Source organism: Homo sapiens, chromosome 7, assembly GCF_000001405.40.
Source record: "Homo sapiens chromosome 7, GRCh38.p14 Primary Assembly".
Classification (NCBI taxonomy): domain Eukaryota; kingdom Metazoa; phylum Chordata; class Mammalia; order Primates; family Hominidae; genus Homo; species Homo sapiens.
The window spans coordinates 94490356-94517051 of record NC_000007.14 but is presented as its reverse complement, the minus strand read 5'-3'; the positions used below and the strand labels follow the sequence as shown (position 1 = coordinate 94517051).

Genomic DNA, 26696 nt, shown 5'->3' with positions numbered 1-26696 from the left:
CACATCTGTAGTCCCAGCTACTCGGGAGGCCAAGACATGAGAATTGCTTTAACCCAGGAGGCAGAGGTTGCAGTGAGCCAAGATCATGCCACTGCACTCCAGCCTGGGTGACAGAGCTAGACTCTGCCTCATTTTAAAAAAAAAAAAAAAGTTTAAGGGATAAAAGACACGACTTTGGAAATGACTTCCTATTCAACTACTATAATACACAGTGCATCAGCATACCTGGAGACCTAGTTTTAAACAGAAAGTTCCGTAACTAGGAAACTCCTCAGTCCCAGGTAAACTGAGACAAAGAGTCACTCTACACTTTTGGATATTTTACTGTACATTAGCTAAATATACATGACCAAAGGGGTTAAAAGAGAGTTTGGAGGCATTTAAGCTCAAATATGTCAAAGGAATGGGGTGGGTTGGGGGTGTGTGGGGGGGCAGAATTAGATGTTTAGGTTAACTATGGGGATATAATAAAATATTATTTAATTTAATCTCCAGTTCTTTATCAATAGTCAATAGCAAGTTATACTTGACATTTAGTTAAAGTCGGGCTAAGGAGTCTGGGAGGAAGAATACTGCAGAACAAAAAGGATATTGAGCATTTCAGGGTAGAGATAAGGAAGACACAAAGATATTTAAAGGAGAAGAACACATCTCTTTTCTCAATCTAGTTACTCATTATCTAGCCAAAATACAGACAAAAGGTGATACAAATACAAGACAAGTATGCATAAATATTGAAAGTGGTGTTGTTTCCTATGTCATAAATTCTAAAGTAGAACAGGAAGGAAAAGTTAAAATGTTGCATTATCTTATTGATGGGAAACTGGTTAAGGAAAGCAGGGTATCAATTATTAAATTTGTGTTAACTATATACACGGCTTGAGCAGTTTTTTTTTTTGTATTTCAAAGATTTTTTAATAACCTGTCTCTAAGTAAACTACAAATAATTAGTTCTTCATTTTCCCCAATTATTAAAAACTAATTCTAGTTCTAAAAAACAAAATTAGGCTACATAAATAACTAAGGATGAGTAAAAAAAGAACTCCAGAAACACACAAGTTATTTTTCTACAAATAGCATTTCTGTAGCATTCTTTTATAATGGCCATATGGTAAAATCTTATTAAAACCTAGCAAATGTTTAAAATTAAGGTGAAAATTCCATATTTATAGCATTTCTCTTTAAATCTATTAAACCAAGTTAAAAGTTAGCAAAACATCTATTTTTTAAAAAAGCTGTAAGTTGTAAATAACTAGGTGTTAATCCTTTAAGGTTTTCTTCTTTTTCTTTTCTGTTTTCTTTCTCCCCTCCCCTTTTCTAGGGGGAGGGGGGTGTTGTTATTTGCCTTTTGTCTTTTGTCTTTGAACTAAAAGCCCAGACAGAAACACACCTTAATCAAACTTCAGTGTCTGGGATTATGCATCTATATGGGTTACCGGTATGTTTTTATAGAGATGGAAACACCATACCAGTATCTCAAAATAACCAGTCGTTTCTCCCCAGAAAACGTGTCTAAAATGCAAATAACTTTTTTTGCCTCCAGTCAATACTATTACCCACATCTTGTTTCTCAGTTGTTGAGTTGATGGAAAACAATAGCTCTAATCTGATGAACCCGTATCAAAAAAAAAAAAAACCATAGCAAAATGAGATTTGAAGTTGTCACTAACCCAAAGGCATTACAAACACAGTTTTTAGAGAATACTGAGCTTTCCATGGAAGAAATTCTTAATTTGCTAATGAATGCTAGTTGATGATGACTTAACATATTTCATAACACAAAGATGTTTTTTACAAGGCTTGTATCTGAAATTAATCCATGTGTGTCTGTATCATATCAGCTAGGGTCCAGTCAAAAGACAGGAAATGTACCAGTTATTTTACCAGAATCTAATATAAAGGATTGCTAAGTAGACAACTGAAAAAGCAAGAAGAGAATGACTTTTTTGTATGTCAGCAAAATTATAAAAATAGTAGTAATAATAAATTACTACTACTATTATAACCTGATTAAAATAAATTAACCTGATCCAGAAAAAACTCCATAAAATTTCATACTCTAAAACAAATTCTCTTTTCTCAGGAAAGAAATTTTTTAAAATAAAATCACTAAATATAAACCTAACAAAACAAACAAACCTAACAAAACAAAACAAAACTTCGGTTGTTATTTTCAATTGTCTAGTATAATTTTGATAGCTATTTTAACACAACTAATGTGAGATAAATGTTGCCAGGCGTTCAGATAAATCAAGCAAGAAACACACACACACACAAAGAAACTAAGAGACAGGACTATCTACTTCAGCTATCTCCAACACCAAGATTATCTGGATGAATGGCTGTCTTCCTCTTTATTCTCTTATCTTAAGTATAAGCATTCTGGTTTGTCAATCTACAATCTCAGAATTTTATGCATGATTTTTCTGTGATAGAAAAATACTTAAAAGCAAACAAACAAAAACAAACTGAAAAATAAAATGTAACAACTAAAGGAAACATCTGATGGCCCATATAAACCCCAACTTATGTTTTCCTTTGAAGAGAATATCTCTGGCACACTGCACCTAAATTTAGACCGAATTATCCTGCTAAAACTGTTTCCTACTACCAACCATTAAAATACGAGATCATGAAGTTTACAGTATAGTCCATAGAATATTTTGTTTGCCTAAGATACAGCAAGTTATACTTTAGCCTGTGCTGAAAATCACCATTAAGATTTATCGTTAGACAAGCAAGGAGTGTCTCATTACAAGAGGTATCATAAAGATCAGGATCTTTCTAACAGTCAAAGAAAGAAAAGGCTAAGAGACCCAGAGCTGCTGCTTTCTTGCTCTAATTTCTGAAGCTTTCAACTTATTTTTCTCCAGAACATCCAATATCATTTAGCACTGGCATTTAATATGCTTAGTGAAAAAAAAAAGAATTTGATTTCAACAAAATTAAGGCATTTGAAGTTAACTTTATCAATTTAAAAAATTAAAATTTATCCAGATTGGAACTATCCTTAAGGCTACAGATATTGGCCATTTGTCACAGAAATGACACCTATAATCAAACTAATAATGGACATTTTGAGATTCATAATGTTAGAAATTGATAACATTTGGAAAAAATATAGTTAAAATGGTAATTATTTTCAAAATGTCATTCTATTATGTGAAAATAATATTAATAATTTTAAAATGCCTACTTTCTAAAATTGAGATTAGAACATGAAATTCAATTAAAGCCACAAAAGAACATAAAAGGAAATAAGGACTTTGAAATCTATTTATCCACAGTTATTTAAGGATTTCCTATTGTGTGTTAGGCTCTGATGATTTAAAGGTTTAAAGATGAGTAAGATACTCTTGGAAGCTCAACAGTTTGTGTGGGTAGGCAGATACCAATTATTACAATACAACACAATAAGTATGTGTAAGTTGCTGGCAGAACTGAACTGCTAATTCCTACTGCTGTGGGTGTGACATTTGAACCAGGCCTTGAAGGAAAAACCTATATTTTCTTTCAAGAGAGAAGTCACTGCAGGCAGAGAAAATCAAATAACTGTGAGACGTATAAACGGGCAAAGCACGTTTAGATTGTGAACCTGGAATTTGGGGAAAATAAGGAAAAAACATAGGTAACAAAAAGTAGGCTCAGGTCAGATTTTGAAGCTTTACACAAACAACTTTTAGAAAATTACCTCCTGACTGGAAAAAAAAATAGAAAAACTCTTAGCTGGTACAATAAAGTTGATTTTTTTTTTTTTTTTTTTTGGGATGCGATCTTGGCTCACTGCAACCTCTGCCTCCTGGGTTCAAGTGATTCTCCCTGCCTCAGCCTCCTGAGCAGCTGGGATTCAGGTGCCCGCCACCACGCCCAGCTAATTGAAGAAGAAGAGGTTTCACCATGTTGGCCACGCTGGTCTTGAACTCCTGACCTCAGGTGATCCACCCGCCTCAGCCTCCCAAAGTGCTGGGATTATAGGCGTGAGCCACTGCGCCCGGCCTGAATTACTGTTTCTAAGTTGTTTAACCCATGCTTCCCTGGAAAATGCTTTCTCCCTCTATCTTCTATACTCCCCACTGTCTAAGAAGTTCTGAGAAAGACAGACTGTAACATAAGGCATGAGACAGACTAACTGGGATCTAAATCCTAGCTCAGTCACTGTGTATCCTTAGGCAATTTAATCTGTCATGCTTCATATTTAAAATGGAAATAATACTGTAATTCACTGAATCTAAGACCACTGATTATTAGACACATGATTATTTTATGTCACAGTAAGAAAAAAATGTTACCAATTAAACTTTGACATGCAATCAAAGTTTTAAAGACTCACCCTGATTACAAAGATGTTAAAAATAGTGGAGAGGAGTGAAATATGGTAATTGTATCTACCTCATAGAATGGTTATAAAGACAAAATGAGTTAAAACATGTAAAACCTTTAGTAGAACAGTCCCTGACATATAAGTGCTCAACGTTAGCACACAGTATTCGCCAAGCTTTACTTTCTGTAGTGGGTAATTCTTTCCTTTACTTTCGGTAGTTTGTAAAGCAAGAGATACTGAATATGTATATCCAAACTGCATTCACTCTACCTTGCCTCAGCACACTCATACTCACACATTCAAAATCCAAATACACAGCCTAATCTCCTTCATCTAATGTAAGATCCTTTCTTATTCTAAAGCAAGATTTTCCAAGCCATGGCCTGGGCTGCTGGAGGCCCAGGATGGCTTTGAATGCAGCCCAAATTCGTAAACCTTCTTTAAATGATACGAGATTTTTTGCAATTTTTTTTAAGCTCATCAGCTATCATGAGTGTTAATATTATGTGTGGCCCAAAGACAGTTCTTCTTCTTCCAATGGGGCCCACGGAAGCCAAAAGATTGGCCACCTCTGTCCTAAAGAGTTATAATGTGAGTCAAATGTATGATTATCTTTGTGTGAAGGGCATTGCACCTGACTCAGTTTGATACTGCCAAAGCATGAGGATATTCCTGGTAAGATGTTTATTTTTCCCAGTCTTCAGCTCAAATTCTTGACATTCAGTCTGGGCAAGTACACTCACCAGGTGTATGCTTCACACTCAAGGCACTGAAGTACCTATGGAAACTGATGACTTACTTCTGGAGAAGGCTTTATAAACAATCCCAGATTGCTACACTGACTCATAAGTCCCCATCTGACATTCTATTCTCCCTGCTGATGACAGATCTTGATAAGATGAAATCTATAATCTAAAAATAATAGTAGTCCAAGGTTATCAAAAGATAAAAAGCACAAAAAAATAAAAGGAAGGGGACTAGATGTTTATTTATCTTAGGACAATAGTACTGTAGTTATAAAATTTCTCTCTACTACCATTACATAAATTGAATTAAATTACTGTTCTTTTATACCAAATTGGCATAAAATGATTAATAGTAGTTAAAAGAAATATTTCCTCAAAACCACCACAAATCAATGCATCAACATTGCTAGTTTTACATGATTGTAGATAAACCAAGGCCTTGCAAGGTCGTATGGCTGTGATCTGGAGAGAGCTGGAGAGAGGCCAAAAGGTTATAAAGAATCTAATTTTTAAAATCAATTTAGTATACTAAAAGCTGTTCACCCAGTATGGCTCTAGAGTACAATATTTTTAATTCTCAAGAGTTGGAAGAAATAAAGCAGCAAAACTGACCAAAATTGAAAGATCTCCTGGGATGAGAATACAGCGCAGACTCCAACAACCCGTTTATGGATATTTTGCCAAAGTAGGTGTAAATTTAAACGGGCACAGCGCTAATTTGCACCTGTCCATTACACATTACATCTTGACTGATTAATCTCACAGTCACCAAGAGCTGGCCAGATAATGGCTTTGATAGTATTAAGAGCCAAAAATAAAAGATCCTATCATTATTAATTTCCCTCTGCCTGTCAGCCTCTCTCCCAGTGACATTTTTACAAAGGAAAAAAAACAATCAATCAGCAAGGAGAAGTAAATATCCCTTGATTACTGAAAGATAATTCATTCTCAAATCAGGTCATATTTCCTTTTCCCCTTTACACCAATTTCAAAACCCATGGCCAAGGCCTGCTTTCAAAGTGCTTACAACTTGCTTTCAACTGCCCACCTTTACGCCTGTCAACCCACAACTTCCTTCCAAAAATCTGCTCTGGTGCCTTAACTTTGTAAAAAGTGTGCACTCCGAAGCCTTTAAACGTTTCTGCATCACAAAAGCTGGGTGGCACCTCTTCCATTTGGCCACAGGCATCTTTTGCCAGCTGTCGCCCTTTTGGCAAAGGAAAATGGGGGCGGCCCTTGCCGCTGTCCAACAGCCCAGACTGGGTGTTACAGGGCAGAGGCAAAATTAAACAAAGGCTAAGGAGCCGGACCCTTAAGAGGCAGGACCTGCGACCCCACTGCTGGCAGCGGTGCCCCTTGCAGGGCGGCCTTGGGCTTCATGCGCCCCGGGCTGCCCCCAAGGACCGCCTGTCCGACTTCCTGCACGCGAGCCCCTGATCTGGAGCGTCTCCCCGAACCCAGACCGCTCAGGAGCCGGACCTCAGCAGCACTTTTGGCCAGGTCCAGGGTTGGCGCCCCCGACCCCAGCGCGGGCGGCTCGGGGCGCCCAGAACCACCAGCCATTGTCCTTTGGTGGCCCCCACTGGGGTCCACTCAGTTGGCCTCGGGCGCCGGCCGCTGCTGGGGACACCTGGGGGAACCGCCTCCCCCGCGGGCCGGGCCGGCGGAAGGCCGCGTGGGCGTGTGTTGGGCGATGGGGGCGGCCTCCAGCCGCCGCGTCGCCGCCTCCCCCACGGCCTGCCCGGGCAGAGGGGAGGGCCCGCTCACCTCGGTAGCGGCGGGAGGCGAGGTGGCACGCTGCGAGCAGCAGCACGGCCACCAGCGCCAGCACCTTGGCGCTCCTCACGCTGAAGTAGTGGTTGATCTCCCGCTTGCCCAGGTTGTAGGCCAGAGCCGCCATCTTGGTTCCTCCATGACAACAGTGCGCGGCGGAGCGGGAAAGGGGCGCCGCACAGGGGCAGCACTGGGGCTGCCGCCGCTGCAGCCAGGCGAGGAGCGGCCGCCAGCTCCCCAGGCCGCCACCTGCGCCTCCCGCCGGGGAACCTGACCCCGCGGCCGCGGCGCCCCCGACCTCCGCCTGCCCCTCCTCGGCCGCGGCCGACTCGGCGGCCTCCCCCCAGCCCCGCCGCCGCTGCTCCGCCGTGCCGGTTCCCCAGGCGCCCTGGACGCCTGTCTCCTCCCCTTCCTCCTCCTCTTTAGCCTCCTGCCTTAATAGCGGCTGCGCCTGCGAGGGGGGTCCGGATGCCCAGTGCTCCGGGGTCACCGGGTCACGCGCCCCGGCGGGCGGCGGCGGCTGCGGCAGAGCCATGGGGGTGTGGGGAGAGAGTACTAGGGGTACCCGCCTGGCCCGGACGCGAGCCTTAGGGCTGTCTCCTAGTTTACTGGCCGCTACCTGAGCCCAGGTTGGGGCAATAGAACTACAGTTCCGGGAGAAAAGTACACATCGTCCCATTCCTTCCTTCCCCAACACTCCCCTTTCTCAGCCTTCTACTGCCAGAACCCGCCCAGCGGGATGCGAAGGACACCCTAAGGTCGTTTATTGTCTGGCTATCCGTGGCCTGGCTGGTCAGTCTGGCTGCCCCTGGGTGCTGGCCAGATTGGATTGATGGATCCAGTTGATGGTGCTGGCCGATGGATTGCTGGCATCCAACCCAGGAGTGAAACCAGTCTTAACACTTAACTCACCGCTCTGGCCAGTTTCTCTTAAACCGTTTTTTTAATGTCCTCAGTTTGCCCAGTTCTGGTGGGCGAAAGTACACCAAAGTTCCGAATGGAAGGTACAGAAGGAGCCTAACTTAGTGTAGGTGTTGATGAGAAAAGAGTCTGACTCTCACTTGTATTTACGCAAGTTTGGCTAGGTCGATGTGCCAAAAAAATTCGTTTTTTTTGAGAGGGAGTCTCACCCTGTCGCCCAAGCTCTAGTGCAGTGGCGTGATCTTCGCTCACTGCAGCCTCCCCCTCCTGGGTTCAAATGGTTGTCCTGCCTGAGCCTGCCGAGTAGCAGAGATTGCAGGCGCCCGCCACCACACCCGTTTAATTTTTGTATTTTAATAGAGACGGGGGTTTCACCATTTTGGTCAGGCTGGTCTCGAACTCCTGACCTCAAATGATCTGCCCATCTCGGCCTCCCAAAGTGCTGGGATTACAGGCATGAGCCACCAAGCCTAGCCAAAAAAAATTTTTCTTAATGTGCTTATGACAATCATCCCCGCTACTAACGTTGGTTAATGTTTTGTGATTCTCAATAAAGCCAGCACTCCATTTCCTTAATAAAGCATTGTTATCCCTACTCTCCTCTCGCTCCCACCCCACCTTTTTTAAATGGTTTTTCTTGTTGCCTTCCAGATGGGAATGGTTATTTACATTGCTTGCCATTCTACTTGCCTTGCCTTGTTTAGAGTGAGTCATTGTTTAGTTGGGGTGTTGTCAAGTATTCTTTACAACTTTCCCATTTAGCCATTCCTGAACTTGTGCTTATAGGCCCCTCTTAAAATTATAGAATATTAGATATGAAGGGACTGTAGAGATCTTGTCTACTCATTCCCATTCTCTTCATCCAAGGACTCTTTATTATGTTTTCATCCATGGACTTTATATCTTGAAAGATTTTGTCACTTAAATGAAATCACATACATCACTGTCATGGATGTAATGCTAATAAGCAATAAAGTTAAATAAGTGTACAAACACTTAGGCACTGTTCCCTGCAAATAGTCTTTTAATTTTGGCTGTCATTCTGATCAGAGGTTGATCACATGTTGTAAGAATTGGGTATTGTAAAAACCAGATAACTCTGCCAACAATATATGGTCTGCCAATCACATCCTAGACATTTCTATGATGTCATTACCAGCAAATTAGAATTTCTGATCAGCATGCAATAACCAGTGTTAACCCAAAGGGTTGAGTTAATGCCTGCAAAAAGTAAAGAAACTTGACATTCTATTAATTGCAATTTCCAGAAGGCTTTCTTAAATACTGTAAATAGCTTGTGAACCTCCTTTTTCTTCTCTCAAGTTTAAGGCCAATCTCTCTACCTCTGCTCTGAATCTTTTCTTATCCTCCTTTCTTGAGGGTGTTGATTCCTCCATCAGTTATCCCCATGCAAATCATTCTTTTTCTGTGTCTTCCAATTCTCCCTATCACCTTGCTGTTTGCCTTCCTCCAAAAAAAATTTTTTTTTAATGAAAAACACCCATGGACTCTGTTCCTGCATGTTTACCTCATCAACTCTTTCCTCCTCTGGCAAACATCTAGAAAGAGCAGTGTTGACTCTCTGCCTTCACTGGCTCAATTAGCATTCTCTCTTCAGCCATTTCATTGTTCTTCACCAAGGCTGTGTGGTATGACTACTTGTTAAATCCAAGGGACACTTTATATTCCTTATCTTCCTGGACCATTTTGTGGCACCTGACATTGTTGACCATTCTTCCTTATTTGGTATCCATCTAAAACAGAGCGGAGACTTTGTTTTCAGCCACTTCTTGCTGTTTTTAAGTGACCTTAGGATCACTTAGTCATTATTTAGTGGTCCCACCACTGCCATGGGATCACCTTCCTTATACACACGCGCGCGCACACACACACACACACACCTGATATGTCAGTCCATATTTATCTATCCTCATGCTGTAAGAACCATCTGCCTACTAGGATATCCTTCAGGTACCTAATATATATCATTTCCTAAACAAACTCATCACCTTCCTTCTCCTTTATCTACTTTCAACCTTTATGCCTAAGTTTTCATCATTAACCCAGCCGTCCAAGCAAGTGTTTGAGTCATCCTTGCTTTCTTCTAAATAACTCTCAACTGTGTTGCCCCCTCTCTATCCACTTGCTGTTACCTTGGTTAAGGGATGATTTCTTGCCTGCATTTCTTATCCTTTTACTCGTCTTTCTCAGGTCACTCGAAAATCCAACCCTACTGCCATTCTGCCATACCTCTTACCAGACAGAACTTTCTTAAATTAAAATCTCGTAATGTCATTTCCTGCTAAAAACTAGTTAGTGGCTCCACGTTTATTTCCTGACCCCTGAGCTATCCAGAATGTTTACTAATGCTCAGCATGTTACCTCACACCTTAATAATATTTTAAAAAGAGAGAGACAGAAACCATCTGACAGAAACTCTCTCAACCTATGCATTATTTTTATTTTTATTTTTATTTTTTGAGATGGAGTCTCACTCTGTCGCCCAAGCTAGAGTGCAGTGGTGTGATCTTGGCTCACTGCAACCTCTGCCTCCCAGGTTCAAATGATTCTCCTGCCTGTCTCCCGAGTAGCTGGGACTACAGGTGTGCACCACCACGCCTGGCTAATTTTTGTATGTTTAGTAGAGACGGGGTTTTACCGTGCTGGCCAGGCTGGCCTCCAACTCCTGACCTTAGGTGATCCACACGCCTCGGCCTCCCAAAGTGCTGGGATTACAGGCATGAGCCACAAAGCCGGCCCTATGTATTACTCTAAAACAAACTGCTACACTTTATCTTTTCCCTTCTGATTCAAAGAAAAATTCCTCCTCCCCTTTCCCAAAACTGTCACTCTCACCTGTGTGTATGATTATACCAATATCATTTCATTGAGAATCTGGTCTCCTAAGTTCCCCTTCCTTATTTCTACCTTTAATTTATCTCTCTTCATTGTTTGCCAAATTCATCCTATCTTCCTTAATGCACCACACAATCTCTCTTTTTTCACCACCAAACTTCTGAAGGAACAGTTTGTGGTTACTTTCCCCATTAAAAAAATTGTTTTTACTATTTTTCAGTTCTTTACATGAAAACTAACTTATGTCCCTACTACTTTACTTACTTAAACCACTCTTTCAAATGAGGGCCACATCCTAAATTACCAAATTCAACATATTTATCTTAGCTTTATCCTTCTTGGCTGTGCAGCTTTCTTGAAATATTTGCTTTATTCAAATCTCTCCTCTTACCTTTCTCATGCATCTCCGAAGATTCCTCTTCCTTTCTCAAAGCCCCTTTTTAAAAGCGCTTTTCAGGTTTCTCATTTGCCTACTTCTCTTCTTAGCAAACCTAAATTGTAAGTTGGCCTCAACTATCACTCCTGATCCACACGTGCAACCTGGCTTCTCATGGTCCTCTCATTTTCATATACCTAAGGGACAGCTTCAATGACTCGCATAGTACCTCAGACTCAATATGTTGGAAAACAAGTTTTATTTTCCTTCTAAACCTTGTTTATCCTTTTAATTTTCCCTTTAGTTCATTGGCACACTATCCTTCAAGTCATTTCTGCTAATCTTTGACTCATCTTCTTTCTACTCTGCCTTCTACTCATCTAAAGTATAGGGTTTTGGCCAGGTGTGCAAGCCTGTAATCCCAGCTCTTTGGGAGGCCAAGATGGGTGAATCACTTGAGGTCAGGAGTTCAAGACCAGTCTGGCCAACATGGTGAAACCCCTTCTGTACTAAAAATACAAAAATTAGTCACCCATGGTGGCCTGCACCTGTAGTCCCGGCTACTCGGGAGGCTCAGTCATGAGAATCGCTTGAACCTGGGAGGCAGAGGTTGCAGTGAGCTGAGATCATGCCACTGTACTCCAGCCTGGGTGACAGAGTGAGACTCCATCTCAAAAAAAAAAAAAAAAAAAAAAAAAAACACAAAAACCCTTTATGCTGGGCATGCTGGCTCATGCCTGTAATCCCAGCATTTTGGGAGACCAAGGTGGGCAGAGTGCTTGAGCTCAAGAGTTCAAGACAGCCTGGGCAACATAGTGAAATGCTGTCTCTACAAAAAAGATAAAAATTAGCCAGGTGTAGTGGTGCATGCCTGTAGTCCCAGCTACTCAGAAGGCTGAGGTAGCAGGATCACCTGAGCACAGGAGGTCAAGGCTGCAGTGAGCCAAGATCACACCACTGCACTTCAGCCTGGGTGACAGAGTGAGACCCTGTCTCAGAAAAAAAAACAAAAACCAAAAAACTCAACTCTTTATTAGTTACATTATATGGTTAAAAAAAAGTATGTATGTATGTGTATATATATATATCATATGTATGATATATATCATGGCCACTTAAATCTGTAAGATATCAGAAAAAAGTAAAATTTCCAAAACTGTTTGAAATAAGAATTTATGGACCTTGCTGTAAATGTACAGTACTTTGAGAATTACTACTGATACAAAGCCATCAACATTAGCAAGACAGTTAGAAACTAAGCACCCAAAACGTGAATTAAATCTTTGCTCTTTGAGAGCAAAAAAAAGTTTGTGAGCATGTATGAATGTTTCAAATTACATGTATTATATTAGTACATTAGTAGAGCAGTATATAATTTATAACTAAATATGCAAAAGTTGGAGGAGTGCATGCTCCAATTTTTAACGAATGTGAACACACAGTCACAAAAATTGGAATGACTTATCTAATGAATCAACATATCCTATTCACTCTGACTTCCCCAAAGCTTTTCTTTTCCTCTCCAGAATGCTCTGGTTCAGGCTGTATCCTGACCATTGCAACAGGCTCTACTGGATTCCTTGCCTCTGGTTTCTCACTTTTCAATCTCTTTTTTTCCAATTGCTGCTAGAATTTTTTTGTCTAAGACTTATATTTGATCTTGTCATGCACCTGCTCAAAATCTTTGGTGGTTCTTTATTGGAACAAAATGAATAACAAACCTGTCAACATGTTTAAGATTGTCCGTGATTTGCCCTAAATCTCCCTTTCTCTCTTAGCTCTGATTTCATCAAACCATGCTAAACTACAAGCCAGGAATATTATATATGTGGCTTTTCTCTTACTATTCCCTTAAGTTGAAATATTTCCCCCCCACCCACATCTTATATTCTACTTATTTAAAATCTTTCTCTTTTAAAGACCTGCTACATTTTGCTTTTTCCATGAACTTGTGCCATACCTCCTTATGGGAATATAAATCTTTTCCTTTTTTCATTTCTCATAGCATTTTGTTTCTATATATGCTTAAGTATGCCTTCAACACAGGCACCATCCAATCAGAACAGATATCTTCATTACTTGTGCATATTGTGTGTAATTGGGAAATTATCAGTTCTGTCTTTTGGCATATATCCCACTGAACCTTATAAACTATTCAGTTATTGCATTTATTTTCCTTTTTCCTCATCCCCCTCCCTCCAGACTTATACACTGGGGCACAGGGACTTAGTCCTTGTTATATGTAGGGAAAACATGTGAAAAACTTAGAAATTGAGAAAAAAATATGGTTGTCATCAGTGGAAAATTAGGCATTGTCCAGATTATCTGATTCTATTGGGGGTTTGTATATCTTGTCTTTATTTTACATTGCTATAAAATAACTATAGTACATAATTATACTATATTATCTAATACTTGTAGTAACAGTCAGTTGACTATTGCCCTCTGGATATTGAACAGATTTCAAATTTTACATCTATTAAGCAAATTTATTTCACAATTTCTGCTGACCTATATAAGTGTGGTTCTTTGAATTTTTCTTTAAACCAGTTGTTACATCTTACTGGTTCCCTAATATAATTAATGAGCTAAATAAATAAAAGTTTCGACACATGTTCACTTTATATCTGTTTGAAAGTCATAATATTTTCTTTTAAAAATTATCTTTTAATACGAGTGTCCCACTCCCTGCGCCATGGACCAGTACCAGTCTGTGAGCTGTTAGGAACGAGGCTGCACAGCAGGAGGTGAACAGCTGGTGAAGGAGCATTACCACCTGAGCTCCGCCTCCTGTCATATCAGTGGAGGCATCAGATTCTCATAGGAGCACGAATCCTATTGTGAACTGTGCATGGGAAAGATCTAGGTTGCGTGTTTCTTATGAGAATCTAACTAATACCTGGTGATCTGAGGTGAAATATTTTCATCCAGAAACCATCCGCCCTGCCCATCCGGTCCATGGAAAAATTGTCTTCCACGAAATTGGTTTCTGATGCCAAAAAAGGTTGGGGATCACTGCCTTGAATTTAGTAAATATTAATATTTCTTTTTTTTTTTGAGACAATCTTGCTCTGTTGCGCAGGCTGGAATGCAGTGATGTGATCACAGCTCACTGCAGCCTCGAACTCCTGGGCTCAAGTGATCCGCCAACCTCAGCATCCCCACTAGCTGGGATCACAGGCACAGGACACCATGCCCAGCTAATTTTTGTATTTTTTGTAGTGACAGGGTTTCATCATGTTGCCCACTCTGGTCTTGAACTCCTGGGCTCAAACGACCCTCCTGCCTCAGCCTCCCAAAGTGCTGGGATTACCCGAGTGAGCCACAGCACCTGGCATGATATTTCTTAAATACAGTTTAAAGATAATTTAATGAAGAATATTGGAGGAAATTTAGACACTTTTCATGTAAACATTTTTAAGATTATGAGGTAAAGAAAGATTTTCCAAGCTAAATTTTTGTTTGCCTAGATGAGAGAACAATTTCCTCTGGAAGACTAAAAAAGACATTTTTAATTAAAAAATTATTATTTTATTTAAAAATGTTTTAAATTCAGCAGGTATATGTTCAGTTTTGTTACGTAGACATATTGCATGATGCTGAGGTTTGGGCTTTGATTGAACTCATCACCCAAATAGTAAACATAGTAACCAATGGGTAGTTTTTCCATCCTTCACCTGGCTTTTGGAGTCCCCAGTGTCTATTGTTCCCATCATAATGTCCATGTATACCCACTGTTTAGCTCCCACTTATAAGTGAGAACATGCAGTATTTGGTTTTCTGTTTCATTTAGCATATTGGCCTCTAGTTGCACCCATGTTGTTGCAAAGGACATGATTTTGTTCTTTCTCATGGCTGTGTAGTATTTCATGGTATATATGTATCACATTTTCATTATTCATCCACCATTGATGGGCATCTATGTTGATTCCATGTCTTTGAATAGTGCTGTGATAAATAAGTGAGTGCAGGTGTCTTTTTGGTAGAATGATTTACTTTCCTTTGGGTGTATACCCAGTAATGGAATCGGTGAGTTGAATGATAATCCTATTTTTAGTTCTTTGAGAAATCTCAAAACTGCTTTCCACAGGGGCTGGACTAATTTACAATCCCACTAACAGTACTTGCATGTTCCCTTTTCTCTGCAACCTCACCAGTATCTGTTATTTTTTTACTTTTTAGTAGTAGCCATTTTGACTGGTGTGAGCTGATATCTCATTGTGGTTTTGATTTGCATTTCTCTGATAATTAGTAATGTCGAGCATGTTTTATAGGTTTGTTGGCTGCTTTTATGTCTTTTGAGAAGTGTCTATTTATGTTCTTTGCCCACTCTTTAGTGGGTTTTTTTTCTTGTTTATTTGTTTAAGTTCCTTATAGATTCTTGATGTTAGTCCTTTGTCAGATGCATAGTTTGCAAATATTTTCTCCCATTCTGTAGGTTGCTTGTTTACTCTGTTGCTACTTTCTTTTGCTGTGCAGAAGCTCTTTAATTAGGTACCACTTAATTTTGGTTTTTGTTGCATTTGCTTTTAAGGACTTAGTCATAAATTATTTGCCTGGGTCAATGTCCAGAAGAGTATTTTCTAGGTTTTCTTCTAGGATTTCTATAGGCCGAGGACTTACATTTAAGTCTTCAATCCATCTTGAGCTAATTTTTGTGTATGGTGAGAAGTAGGGTTTGAGTTTAATTCTTCTGCATATGGTTAGCAAGTTTCCCCAGCAACATTTATTGAATACGGTGTTCCTTCCCTATAGTTTATTTTCATTGACTTTTTCGAAGATCAGTAGGTTGTACATGTGCAGCTTTATTTCTGGCTTCTCTATTCTGTTTTATTTGCCTAGGTGTCTGGTTTTGTACCAGTACCATGCTGTTTTGGTTATTACGGCCTTGTGGTATAGCTTGAAGTTGGGTAATGAGATGCCTCTGGCTTTGTTCTTTTTGCTTAGAATTGCTTTGGCTATTCAGGCTTTTTTTTTTTTTTTTGGTTTCATATGAATTTTAGAATAGTTTTTTCTAATTCTGTGAAGAATGACATTGGTAATTTGATAAGAATTGCATTGAATCCAGTGATTGCTTTGGGCAGTATGGACATTTTAGCAATATTCATTCTTCTGATCATGAGCATGAAATGTTTTTCCATTTGTTTGTATTATCTATTATTTCTTTCAGCAATGTTTTGTAGTTCTCATTGTAGAGTTCTTTCACCTCCTTGGTTAGATGTATTCCTAGGTATTTTATTCTTTTTGTGGCTATTGCAAATGGAATTGTGTTCTTAATTTGGTTCTCAGTTTGAATGTTATTGGTATATAGAAATGCTACTGATTTTTTGTGCATTGATTTTGTATCCTGAAACTTTAATGAAGTCATTTGTCAGGTTCAGGAGTTTTTTGGTAGAATCGTTAGGGTTTTCTAGGTATAGAATCATATCATCAGAAAAGAGAGATAACTCCCTCTTTTCCTATTTGGATTTCTTGAAAAAGACTTATTTTTGGCACAATGAATTTGAACATCAGCCTTTAGATCCTTCAATCAAGTTGAGTATCCCCTACCAAAATAAAACAGAAATAAAACCCAAATATCCAATTTGTATTTATTCAGTTACTTAAAAACTGATACAAGAGAATAAACATGAAGAAATCCTAAAGTATTAGTCAATTATTTTGTTTGTAGTTTTTTCATTCTGGAAGTTTTCACAGTGAAAAAAATGATTCCGAAATCTTCTCCATAATCATTTGGAAGTTGTATAAAGTAAAAGTTTTATACATGGTATAGTAGTCTTCAATATAATTAACACATCCCAAATTCACCCCAAATTCACACATGTCCTATTTGTCTTCAGATTGGAAGCACTTGAGATTCAACCTTAGGTCTACTGGTTCTTTCTGTTTAAATTCTCTTCCTGTAACAAATATGTTCTGTTTTTCCCACCTTTTTAGCTTCTCTTCTATCTTGTTTCCTTCTGCTACCAATTGTAGTGTTTACCAAATATTTGTACTTCTGAGAAAACTCTTCACTCCTTACCTTGGTGGCTTCATTTGTTTTAATAGCTTGGGCAAAGGTGGAAGCAGAGGAAATGAGGGAAAAGTGGACAGATTGGATTTTAGAAGTAAAATTGACATAACTTGCTGATGGATTGCATGTGATGGATTAGAGAGAGGGAGAATCAAAGGTGATTTCTTTTTCTGGCTTAAACAATGGCTTCAGAGACTACTTACTAACGGGAAAGACTGAAGTAGGAACAACCTTAGGAATGATTATCAGAATATTTCTTCAGTTAATTCTTATTTACATTATATAGTATGTTTAAAAGTTAAAACCCAGAAAATATAATACATATTAAATTTTCATATATGAAACTCTGCCCTACCCCACCACTCTTAATACTTTTTTTCCCGGGACAGAAATACGAAAAGTACATCTCCAACTCCATTCCCAAGTTGCATTTTTTTTCAAATGAAATCAACAGTTTTCACCAATGAGTTTTAAAAAAATTGAGTGAGTGGGGATGGAATGGTAGTGTAACAATTGAATTTTGTCTTGGGTCTTTCTAAAAAACTAAGACCAATCTTCCTTTCTGTAGAATAGTTAGTTTAAATTAGCTAAAATTCAGTTCACTGGTTTTTCAAAGGCATGGAAGGGGTCCCTTTGGGATGATAAATATGAATATCTCCTATTGTTTCTAAAATAAAGGGTGTTAATCATTGATCAGGTCAAAGAGGGGCAGTTGGAAGTGGAGAAAAAAACTAAATGACCTGCCTGGTTGCAAAGCCTCATGGCCCAAATGGTACTGACATTTTCACTAAGCAGGTTAAGAAAAAAAATAGAGGTTAATTAACTTAGTGGTGTTCAGCTGAAATGACCAACACTGCCGTAGGCCTAAGGTAAGCGTAATGCTGTTAGCAGCATCTTGGCCTTCCACTTTACATTGCATCACCTTTGAATGCCTGTAAACAAATTAGGATTGCTTTTTGTGTATGGCTGTGTAGCTCACAGGGATGTATGAAAATATATTAGGTAATGTCTGTAAAGCACTTTAAATGATTTATTCTTTAGCCAATTTTTCTTAAAGGATACTTTGTCTCTCACACTTCTAATTGCTATCTAGCTAGATGATAAAGAACAATTTTCAACTAAACACTTAGTGGGTTGTAGCAGATGACTCATAGATCTTTTACTCTATGCACACAGAACATATACTTACATTTCCCATCATGAAATTTTGTATTTTCTAACTAGTATATTTTTTGTTGACATTTAGATATCATTTTCAGTTTGGAGAAGTGGCAGGTATAACTTTGTGGTCGTTAGAAAAAAGGTTTTTCTACGGGGGTAGAATAATATGGCTAAAAGAGTGTAGGTTTTGGAAGAAGAACATTTGGGATTTGACATTTGGCTCTACCATTTACTAGCTAAATAATGTGGCAAATCATTTTATCTGTTGAACTTCAACCTTCTGTAAAATGAAGATAATCACACTTATCACTCAAAGTTGTTTCTGTGACTCAATGAGTAATGTATAGTTCTTGACATCTAGGTGATGCTCAATAAAAAATTCTTTCCTCCTTCAAACTTCATTGTCACTGGTAAATGCACAAGCAGTCCCTGTTAAATCTGTTCTCCTCCTGGCTGTATCTAAAAGTAAACACATGTGTCAGAGACCAGATATTTAATTAACAGAAAATAGCCAAGTCAAATTCAGATACATTCCCTTAGATAATTAAATAATCCTTGGTTAAGCCTGTTTAAAAAAAAAAAAAACACTATGACATTGAAGTTTCCTCCTTTTTGCCAAGCTACCTTTTTGCCTTATTTCCAAGTTTTAAATACGTTTATTTAACAGCCTCTTTTTGTGATCATAAATAACCTCTGGAGATTATTCTTGATCACTCACATATAAAGCTAGTTTCATATTTTGTCATGATAGTTCACATAGTTCACATAGCAAGAGGTATTAACTAACTGTATATACTTCCTTGAACATTCAGTATTGAGCAACTACAGAGGCCAAATAATTAAATTCTGTCAGGTAATTTCATTAGGGAATATAGGATTCAATTCTTTAAAAGCCTGTTATTTTTTTCTTCTATCCCAAGACTACAAAACCAAGCCCCAAAATTCTATCCACCAAGATTACACTGTCATTTCTAATAGATTCTGGTGAATTTCTTTCGACTTGAAGTCTCCAAATACTCTTGAGGTCCCTGGCTGACTAGTAAGTGATACTGCTCATCACTTGTGAGGCTTTAACCATAAACCAGGTTGATTTTTTTTTTTCGAGTGGGAGTGGGAAGTGAAATTTGTGGTCATTGTTTTCACATCTTGCTCCTTAATGATGAGCTTTCCATATTTGATTAAATGTCATTTTGATACGGACAGGAGGCAGGGAAATACTGAGTAGAAGATGGTGGTTCCCTGGCAAAGGCTCCACCTGGAAACTGCCACCCTAAATAAGAATAGTTATTGCTGTTTTCCTGCCCGAACATTGCTTTTTCCAAACCACCCTGGCCTGCCATGCCCCCATCCTGTGTACCCATAAAAACCCCAAACTCCTCTGGCAAAGGAGCAGAGCAGCACAGCAGAGAAGGAGAGAAGAAAAGAAGCATCTGAATATCAAAGAGGCAGCTGGACGGTCAGAGAGGAGTTTGGCTGGGGGTGGCCAAACTCAAGGGAAGATTGTCTTCCCACTCCATCCCCTTTCCAGCTCCCTATCCCACTGAGAGCCACCTCCATCAATCAGTAAAACCTCTGCATTCACCATCATTCAAGTCTGTGTGACCTGTCTTCCTGGATGCCGGGACAAGGACCCCAGGTACCAAGAGAGCAGGTTATAAAAAGCTGTTGCCACAACTCTCCACTGAGCTGGTTAACACTTAGCTGTCCATGGATGGCAACTGCTAAAAGAGCATTAATTGTAACACATCCCTAGATGCTACCATGGGGCTGGAGCCCAAAAACACTCACCCAGGCCCCGGCACCCGCTTGCCTGCATGCTCCCACTCCTGCGTGGGGTTTGTGTGGTGGCTGAGTAAATGAGCCACACCCATGTCACCTGAGAAGGGGTCCGAAGAACTCTCCCATCTCAATTTATTCTCAAATGTGACTCCAGGCTGGGCTTTGTATGATGAGGTCAAAATTGAAGACAGTAAAATTCTCTGTTGAGGTGCAATACATAATTATTATTTTTGTTTTTGTGAGACCGAGTTTCACTCTTTTTGCCCAGGCTGGAGTGCAATGGCATGATCTCGGCTCACTGCAACCTCCACCTCCCGGGTTCAAGTGATTCTACTGCCTCAGCCTCCCGAGTAGCTGGGATTACAGACATGCACCACCACGCCTGGCTAATTTTGTATTTTTAGTAGGGAAGGGGTTTCACCATGTTGGCCAGGCCGGTCTCAAATTCCTGACTTCTGGTGATCCGGCCGCCTCAGCCTTCCAAAGTGCTGGGATTACAGTCGTGAACCACTGCACCCAGCCGCAATACATAATTTTTTAATAAGAATTTGATCAGTGTTTTTCTTATAAGTAAAACAATACTATGAACAGTGAGAGCACAGACAAATATCCAGGGCCTTCCAATTTATTCTGTAATGTGTACAGTCTCAGAAATAAATGTGTGAGTAATATTTTGTTTATAAAATTTATCCTTTAGATGAGTCCATGTCCTTTGCAGGCACATGGATGAAGCTGGAAACCATCATTCTCAGCAAACTATCACAAGAACAGAAAACCAAACACTGCATGTTCTCACTCATGAGTGGAAGTTGAACAATGAGAACACATGGACATAGGGAGGGGAACATCACACACTGGGGCCCATCGGCGGGGTGGGGAGCTAGGGGAGGGGTAACATTAGGAGAAATACCTAATGTAGGTGATGTGTTGATGGGTGCAGCAAACCACCATGGCACGTGTATACCTACGTAACAAAACTGCACGTTCTGCACATGTACCTCAGAACATAAAGTATAATAAAACAATTTTTAAAAAATAAAATGTATCCTTTAATTTGACTACTATTTTGATCAATTCTTACAATAGTGTTGAACTAAGAAAAAAAGTCAAGGAAACAATTATTTGGTACATCTCTACTTTTGTAAAACAAAAGAAAAAAGCTTCATGATTTTCTAGGGGTCTTATGGGAAATTTCAAAGATAGTTTTATGTGTGAAGAAAATCCTCTAATTTTTATTTTTCCGAAGCTAGGATGTGATTGTGGGAAAGCAAAACCAAGAGTTATTGGAGTACTTTAGATCACCTATTAACATAGGGTCAGATGTGCCTGAGAAACAATAAATTCAATATCTGTTGATCAAAATGACAATACAATATTTTAAATAACAAGAATATGATGACACAAAAGAAAGGAGTCTTAGCTTTTCAGCAAATGAAGAACTTTAAGTTTTTGCTGCTTAAAAATCAAGGGCTTGAAAATATGACCATAAAACACAGAAAACTGTTTTGATGGGATATGGAATTTCTGCTATGTTGTCAGGCCAGATAGAATGTAAAGGCATAAACTTTTACTACCCTTTGTTAAGAGCAGACCAAACAGTTTGAGATACACTGTTATTTTAGTACATAGAAAACCAAATTCTAGTTTTACATTAATATAGTAGTTAGCAGGAAAGGATTTATTAGCTCCTTGCTCTATTTTTTTTTAATGGAACACATCATGATTTTGTGTGTCATCCTTGTGCAGAGGCCATGCTAACCTTCTTGTATCATTCCAATGTTAGTGTACGTGCTGCCTAACTGAACAACCTGCCCTATTTCTGTTGTATTTTTTTGAGACAGGGTCTTGTTTTGTCACCCAGGCTGGAGTGCAGTGGCATGCTTATGGTTGGCTGCAGCCTCCGTCTCCTGGCCTGTCCTATTTAAAAAACAAAACAATCTTACAAATAAACTCATCAAAATTGAGGGAACGTTGCCAACATTTGAGTATATTTTATTGTTTCTTTTTCAACTCATTATTTGCAGTGAGGCAAATAAATTGTTTTCTACTTACAACTTTCTACATCTATTCAAGATTTGTTTTACACAATTCTTTTTCGCATTCTAGAAGAACCAAACCTTTTAGTTTAAGACAGAAAATATTTCCATTACCTCGCATTCATAGTCACAATTTTCTGCTACTATTGCTTTAGTATAGTCTTTGATTATTTGTATAAATTCTAACTTTCAGTCAAAGTAGCTGATTTCTATTTCACAGAGAAAACTAGAAGGGGATGTAGAAGTATCTATTATACACAGTTTAGCAAATTAACAAAACTAATGAAATCACCTCCTAGAGTCACCCACATCCATTTTTCACTCCTTTAAATCAGAGTAAACCCAATCATTAGTAAGGTAAACACAGTCATTAACATGAACAACAGATATATCCACTATAAGAAAAAAAGTGTATATATTCAAAATATGTAGGGTGACCAAATTTTAGTATTCTATTTCCCTTAAAAATTATCTAGGTGTCCAAGTTATCTATTAAATAACTTGATCTAAGAATAGACTCAGGTTTTAAAGTTAAATAAGGATCTTAGTTATGTTGACAAACTACAACTTACCGTATTCTAATTTAAGAATTTAGACCATTTGTATTCACATAGCTTAATGTGGGGACTTAGAACAGAGACTCCCCCACGTTAATTTGACTTACTTATTGTTTAAGAAATTCTTGCCCAGAAATATAAAGCTATAAACCAATATATAACTTTACTACTTGCTTCAGGAAATTCCTGAAAAGCAACTTGTCTATATAGTTTGTTCATCTGGCCAAGCAGTTCTTCTATCGGGATAATAGATTGCTTATCTGGCCAAATGGGCAGCTTATTAAAAAAATTACTTACGGGCCGGGCATGGTGGCTAATGCCTGCAATCCCAGCACTTTGGGAGGCTGAGGTGGGCGGATCACTTGAGGTCAGGAGTTCGATACCAGCCTGGCCAACGTGGCAAAAGCCTGCCTCTACTACAAATACAAAAATAAGGCTGGGCATGTTGGCTCACACCTGATCCAGCACTTTAGGAGGCCGAGGTGGGTGGATCATCTGAGGTCAGGAGTTTGAGACCAGCCTGGCCAACATGGTGAAACCCTGTCTCTACTAAAAACAAAAAACAACAAAACAAAGCAAACAAACAAAAAAACTCGCCAGGCGTGGTGGCAGGTGCCTGTAATCCCAGCTGCTCAGGAGGCTGAGGCAGGAGAATTGCTTGAACTCAGGAGGCAGAGGTTGCAGTGAGCTAAAATCTCACCATTGCACTCTACCCTGGGCCACAAGAACAAAGCTCCAACTCAAAAAAAAAAAAAAAAAATTAGCCAGGTGTGGTGGCAGGTGCCTGGAATCTCAGCTACTTGGGAGGCTGAGGCAGGAAAATTACTTCTTGAATCCAGGAGGTGGAGGGTGCAGTGAGCCGAGATCATACTACTGTACTCCAGCCTGGGCAAAAGAGCAAGACTTTGTCTCAAAAAAAAAAAAAAAAGAAAAAGAAAAGAAAAGAAAAAGAAAAATTACTTATCAAGGCTTATGTCAAGAAGTTGGCCTTTCTGGGTCTCCTAATCCTAAACTGTAAGTCATGAACTGTCCTCCAGTTCAGTTAGTTTCTTGTCTTGATAAACCTGACTTAAACAACTGAAGCCTAGATCCCTAAGCCTTATAAATATCCTCCTCTTACGTTCCCATTTTGAGATATTACTAGGATCTCTCAAGGTGGTATTCTCCCTTGCTGTAGCAGACTGAGCTTTGATTGATCAACAGAAACTGTAAGTTTATCAATGTTTTTGGTGTAAGGTTGAGAAATTTGTGGCAATATTGTTATGTGGCAATAGAAAACCAGTTCAACCCCATCAGTAAAATTAGGGAAGAGTCATATAGCTGTTTTCAAATCAAAAGTTACCAAACAAGCCTAATCTGTAAAAGATTCACCTTTATTTTATTTTTTTCTCATAAAATATATGACTCAAAAGATTCACCTTTATAATATGAACTCATGTTTTCATACAAACCTGCTTCTGATCTTGAGATTTCCATAATAATTTTTAAGCCTAGTTTTAAAAGAACAATTTATTTCCTGAGAAATTTGTGAATGCCAGTTATAGAAGTGCTTATTTTTCTCTATGAACCAATTAGAGAGAAGCTATTTAAATTTCAGAGACTTTATAATTTAATTTATTTACATACATGAGGTGGAAAAATGTCAAACTCACGCAATGAAAGGTAAAGGTTTTTCACAATTACAGATAGACTTACTGAGACTGAGAACTTGAAGTTTCAGTTCTACAGCCTCAATCATGAGTCAACAGTAAACACAGAACCATAAAAATCACTAGTGCAGATCTCAAAGGGACATTTTACTTTTAGTGAGCATATAATGTTTTCCTGATTGAGTTGAGCTCACAAATAGTCAAACAGACAAGTAAATAAAAAGAGGGCTAACAAACCGGTTTTTTTATTCTCTCTCACCCAACAGAAACTGATCCCCTTTATATCCTGAGAGAGGTCACTACATGATCACATCATAAAACCAGATTCCCAAATACTACCCAAATACTACTTTTTTTTTTTTTTGAGACAGAGTTTCGCTCTTGTTGCCCAGGCTGGAGTGCAATGGCTTGATCTCAGCTTGCTGCAACCTCCGCCTCCTGGGTTCAAGCAATTTTCCTGCCTCAGCCTCCTGAGTAGCTAGGATTACAGGCACCTGCCAGCACACCTAATTTTTGTATATATATATATATTTTTTTTTTTTTTTTTTTTTTTTTTTTTTTTAGTAGAGACAGCTTTCACCATATTGGCCAGGCTGGTATTGAACTCCTGAACTCAGGTGATCCATCCACCTCAGCCTCCCAAAGTGCTGGGATTACAGGTGTGAGCCACCACGCCCACCCCACAAATATGACTCTTATGAATGAAGAACAACTTGTTGACTATGTACAGTCAGACTTAGATATACATGAGATGCTTTTTTGACTATGAAATCAATCGTCGATGTACCCACTTGTCCCCAGGTCTGGCTGGGGACAAGAGTTAGACAAGACATCAAGAGTTAGCTAAGAGCCAGAAAAAAGAAACAAAAACTCCCATGGTATACTTAGAGAATGATGATTTAGGCTTATTTATTTATTTATTTATTTATTTATTTAAATAGGCTTTTGGGGAACAGGTGGTGTTTAGTTACATGAATAAGTCCTTTAGTGATGACTTCTGAGATTTTGGTACACCCAACACCGAAGTAATGTACACTGTACGCAATGTGTAGTCTTTTATCCCTCACCTCCCTCCCACTCTTTCCCCTGAGTCCCCAAAGTCCATTAAATCATTTTTATGCCTTTGCATCCTCACAGCTTAGCTCTCACTTATGAGTGAGAACATACAACGTTTGGTTTTCCTTTCCTGTTTTTTTTCACTTAGAATTTCATCCAGATTGCTACAAATGCCATGATTTTGTTCCTTTTCATGGCTAAGTAGTATTCCATGGTATACATATACCACATTTTCTTTATCTACTTATTGATTAATGGGCATTTGGGCTGGCTTCATATTTTTGCAATTATGAATTGTGTTTCTATAAACATGCACGTGCAAGAATCTTTTTCATACAGTGACTTCTTTTCCTTCGATAGATACCCAAAAGTGGGATTGCTGGATCCAAGGGTAGATTTACTTTTAGTTCTTTAAGGAATCTCCACACTGTTTTCCATAGTGGTTGTACTAGTTTACACTCCCATCAACAGTATAAAAGTGTTCCCTTTTCAGCGGAGGTTGCAGTGAGCCGAGATAGTGCCACTGCACTCCAGCCTGGCAACAGAGCGAGACTCCATCTCAAAAAAATAATAATAATAAATAATAGATGCCCACATCTATTATTTTTTATTGTTTGATTATGACCATTCTTGCAGGAGTAAGGTGGTATCACACAGTGGTTTTCATTTGCATTTCTCTGATAATTAGTGATGTCGAGGATTTTTTCATGTTTCTTGGCCTGATATAGGCTGTTTTAGTATCAAAGAGTTTACATGAGCAGTAGGATGGCCAAAGGGGCCATATTACTGATGATCTTGAATGTTTAGAAGTGACAGCAAATCACTTTTTAATATGTTAAAATAAATTTTTCATGAAAGATAAAATCATAACTTTTATATTAATATAAAAATAAACATGTTAAATATTTGTTTAACTCAAGAGGAAACAGGTGAGGTGTTACAACGAAGTCAAGGAGGAATTTTTAAAAATTATAAATCAAGAATATTTAAATAAATGTGCTAATGAAGGTAAGACTGGCTTCATGGGGACAGGTGGGAAAGGAGGCAAGCCAGTTGACTCTTCACCAGAGAGAATTTACACTTCATAGACAATAATTATTGTACATTGCTATCAGTTATCTACAATATACAGAGTTGTAAATAGCTCAAGCACAATGAAGGACAAGAATCAGATGCCTGGAAGTTTATGATCTAAATAATACATACTTTTTTACATTGAAGCACAATTCTTTCCCTACAATAACCTCAACTGGCTTGATGATGGGAAAGCAGTAAGACACATTTGAAAACTACCTTAGGGGAAAAAACTACACAAATTCATGGTTTCTTGGATGTAATAAATGATTAGGAAATAGGATTCAGAGGTCATTCATTACAAGTGTGGCAATTGCCTACTTGTTTGGTGGATTGCTTCATGGGAGCTAGGATAATGACTTATAATGTTGGGGACAA

General features: G+C 38.8%; 1 protein-coding gene and 1 pseudogene across 9 annotated transcripts in view, besides 5 other annotated features; both read right to left on the bottom strand.

The window, feature by feature from the left end:
* Nucleotides 1-7243, bottom strand: part of CASD1 (CAS1 domain sialic acid O acetyltransferase 1) — a 124364-nt gene extending 117121 nt beyond the window's left edge. For all 9 annotated transcript variants that reach the window (XR_007060138.1, XR_007060140.1, XR_007060139.1 and 6 more), the window contains exon 1: nucleotides 6835-7243. Coding sequence is in view for 3 of the 9 variants with exons in the window: in XM_011516495.3 (XP_011514797.1) it covers nucleotides 6835-6967 (133 nt within the window). In the remaining 6 variants the exon portion in view is untranslated. The remainder of the gene's footprint in view (nucleotides 1-6834) is intronic.
* Nucleotides 5983-6969: an enhancer, noted in NCBI's record as "H3K27ac hESC enhancer chr7:94139395-94140381 (GRCh37/hg19 assembly coordinates)". NCBI's record gives its function as "activates a minimal SCP1, AML or CMV promoter by ChIP-STARR-seq in naive and primed H9 embryonic stem cells {active_cell/tissue: H9 hESC(naive and primed)}" and the evidence as "EXISTENCE:reporter gene assay evidence [ECO:0000049][PMID:30033119]".
* Nucleotides 6580-6939: a silencer, noted in NCBI's record as "silent region_18380". NCBI's record gives its function as "represses an Ori minimal core promoter by ATAC-STARR-seq in GM12878 lymphoblastoid cells {active_cell/tissue: GM12878}" and the evidence as "EXISTENCE:reporter gene assay evidence [ECO:0000049][PMID:35858748]".
* Nucleotides 6970-7958: an enhancer, noted in NCBI's record as "H3K27ac hESC enhancer chr7:94138406-94139394 (GRCh37/hg19 assembly coordinates)". NCBI's record gives its function as "activates a minimal SCP1, AML or CMV promoter by ChIP-STARR-seq in primed H9 embryonic stem cells {active_cell/tissue: H9 hESC(primed)}" and the evidence as "EXISTENCE:reporter gene assay evidence [ECO:0000049][PMID:30033119]".
* Nucleotides 7040-7189: a silencer, noted in NCBI's record as "silent region_18379". NCBI's record gives its function as "represses an Ori minimal core promoter by ATAC-STARR-seq in GM12878 lymphoblastoid cells {active_cell/tissue: GM12878}" and the evidence as "EXISTENCE:reporter gene assay evidence [ECO:0000049][PMID:35858748]".
* Nucleotides 7230-7449: a silencer, noted in NCBI's record as "silent region_18378". NCBI's record gives its function as "represses an Ori minimal core promoter by ATAC-STARR-seq in GM12878 lymphoblastoid cells {active_cell/tissue: GM12878}" and the evidence as "EXISTENCE:reporter gene assay evidence [ECO:0000049][PMID:35858748]".
* RNU6-1328P (RNA, U6 small nuclear 1328, pseudogene) lies at nucleotides 21648-21753 on the bottom strand (annotated as a pseudogene).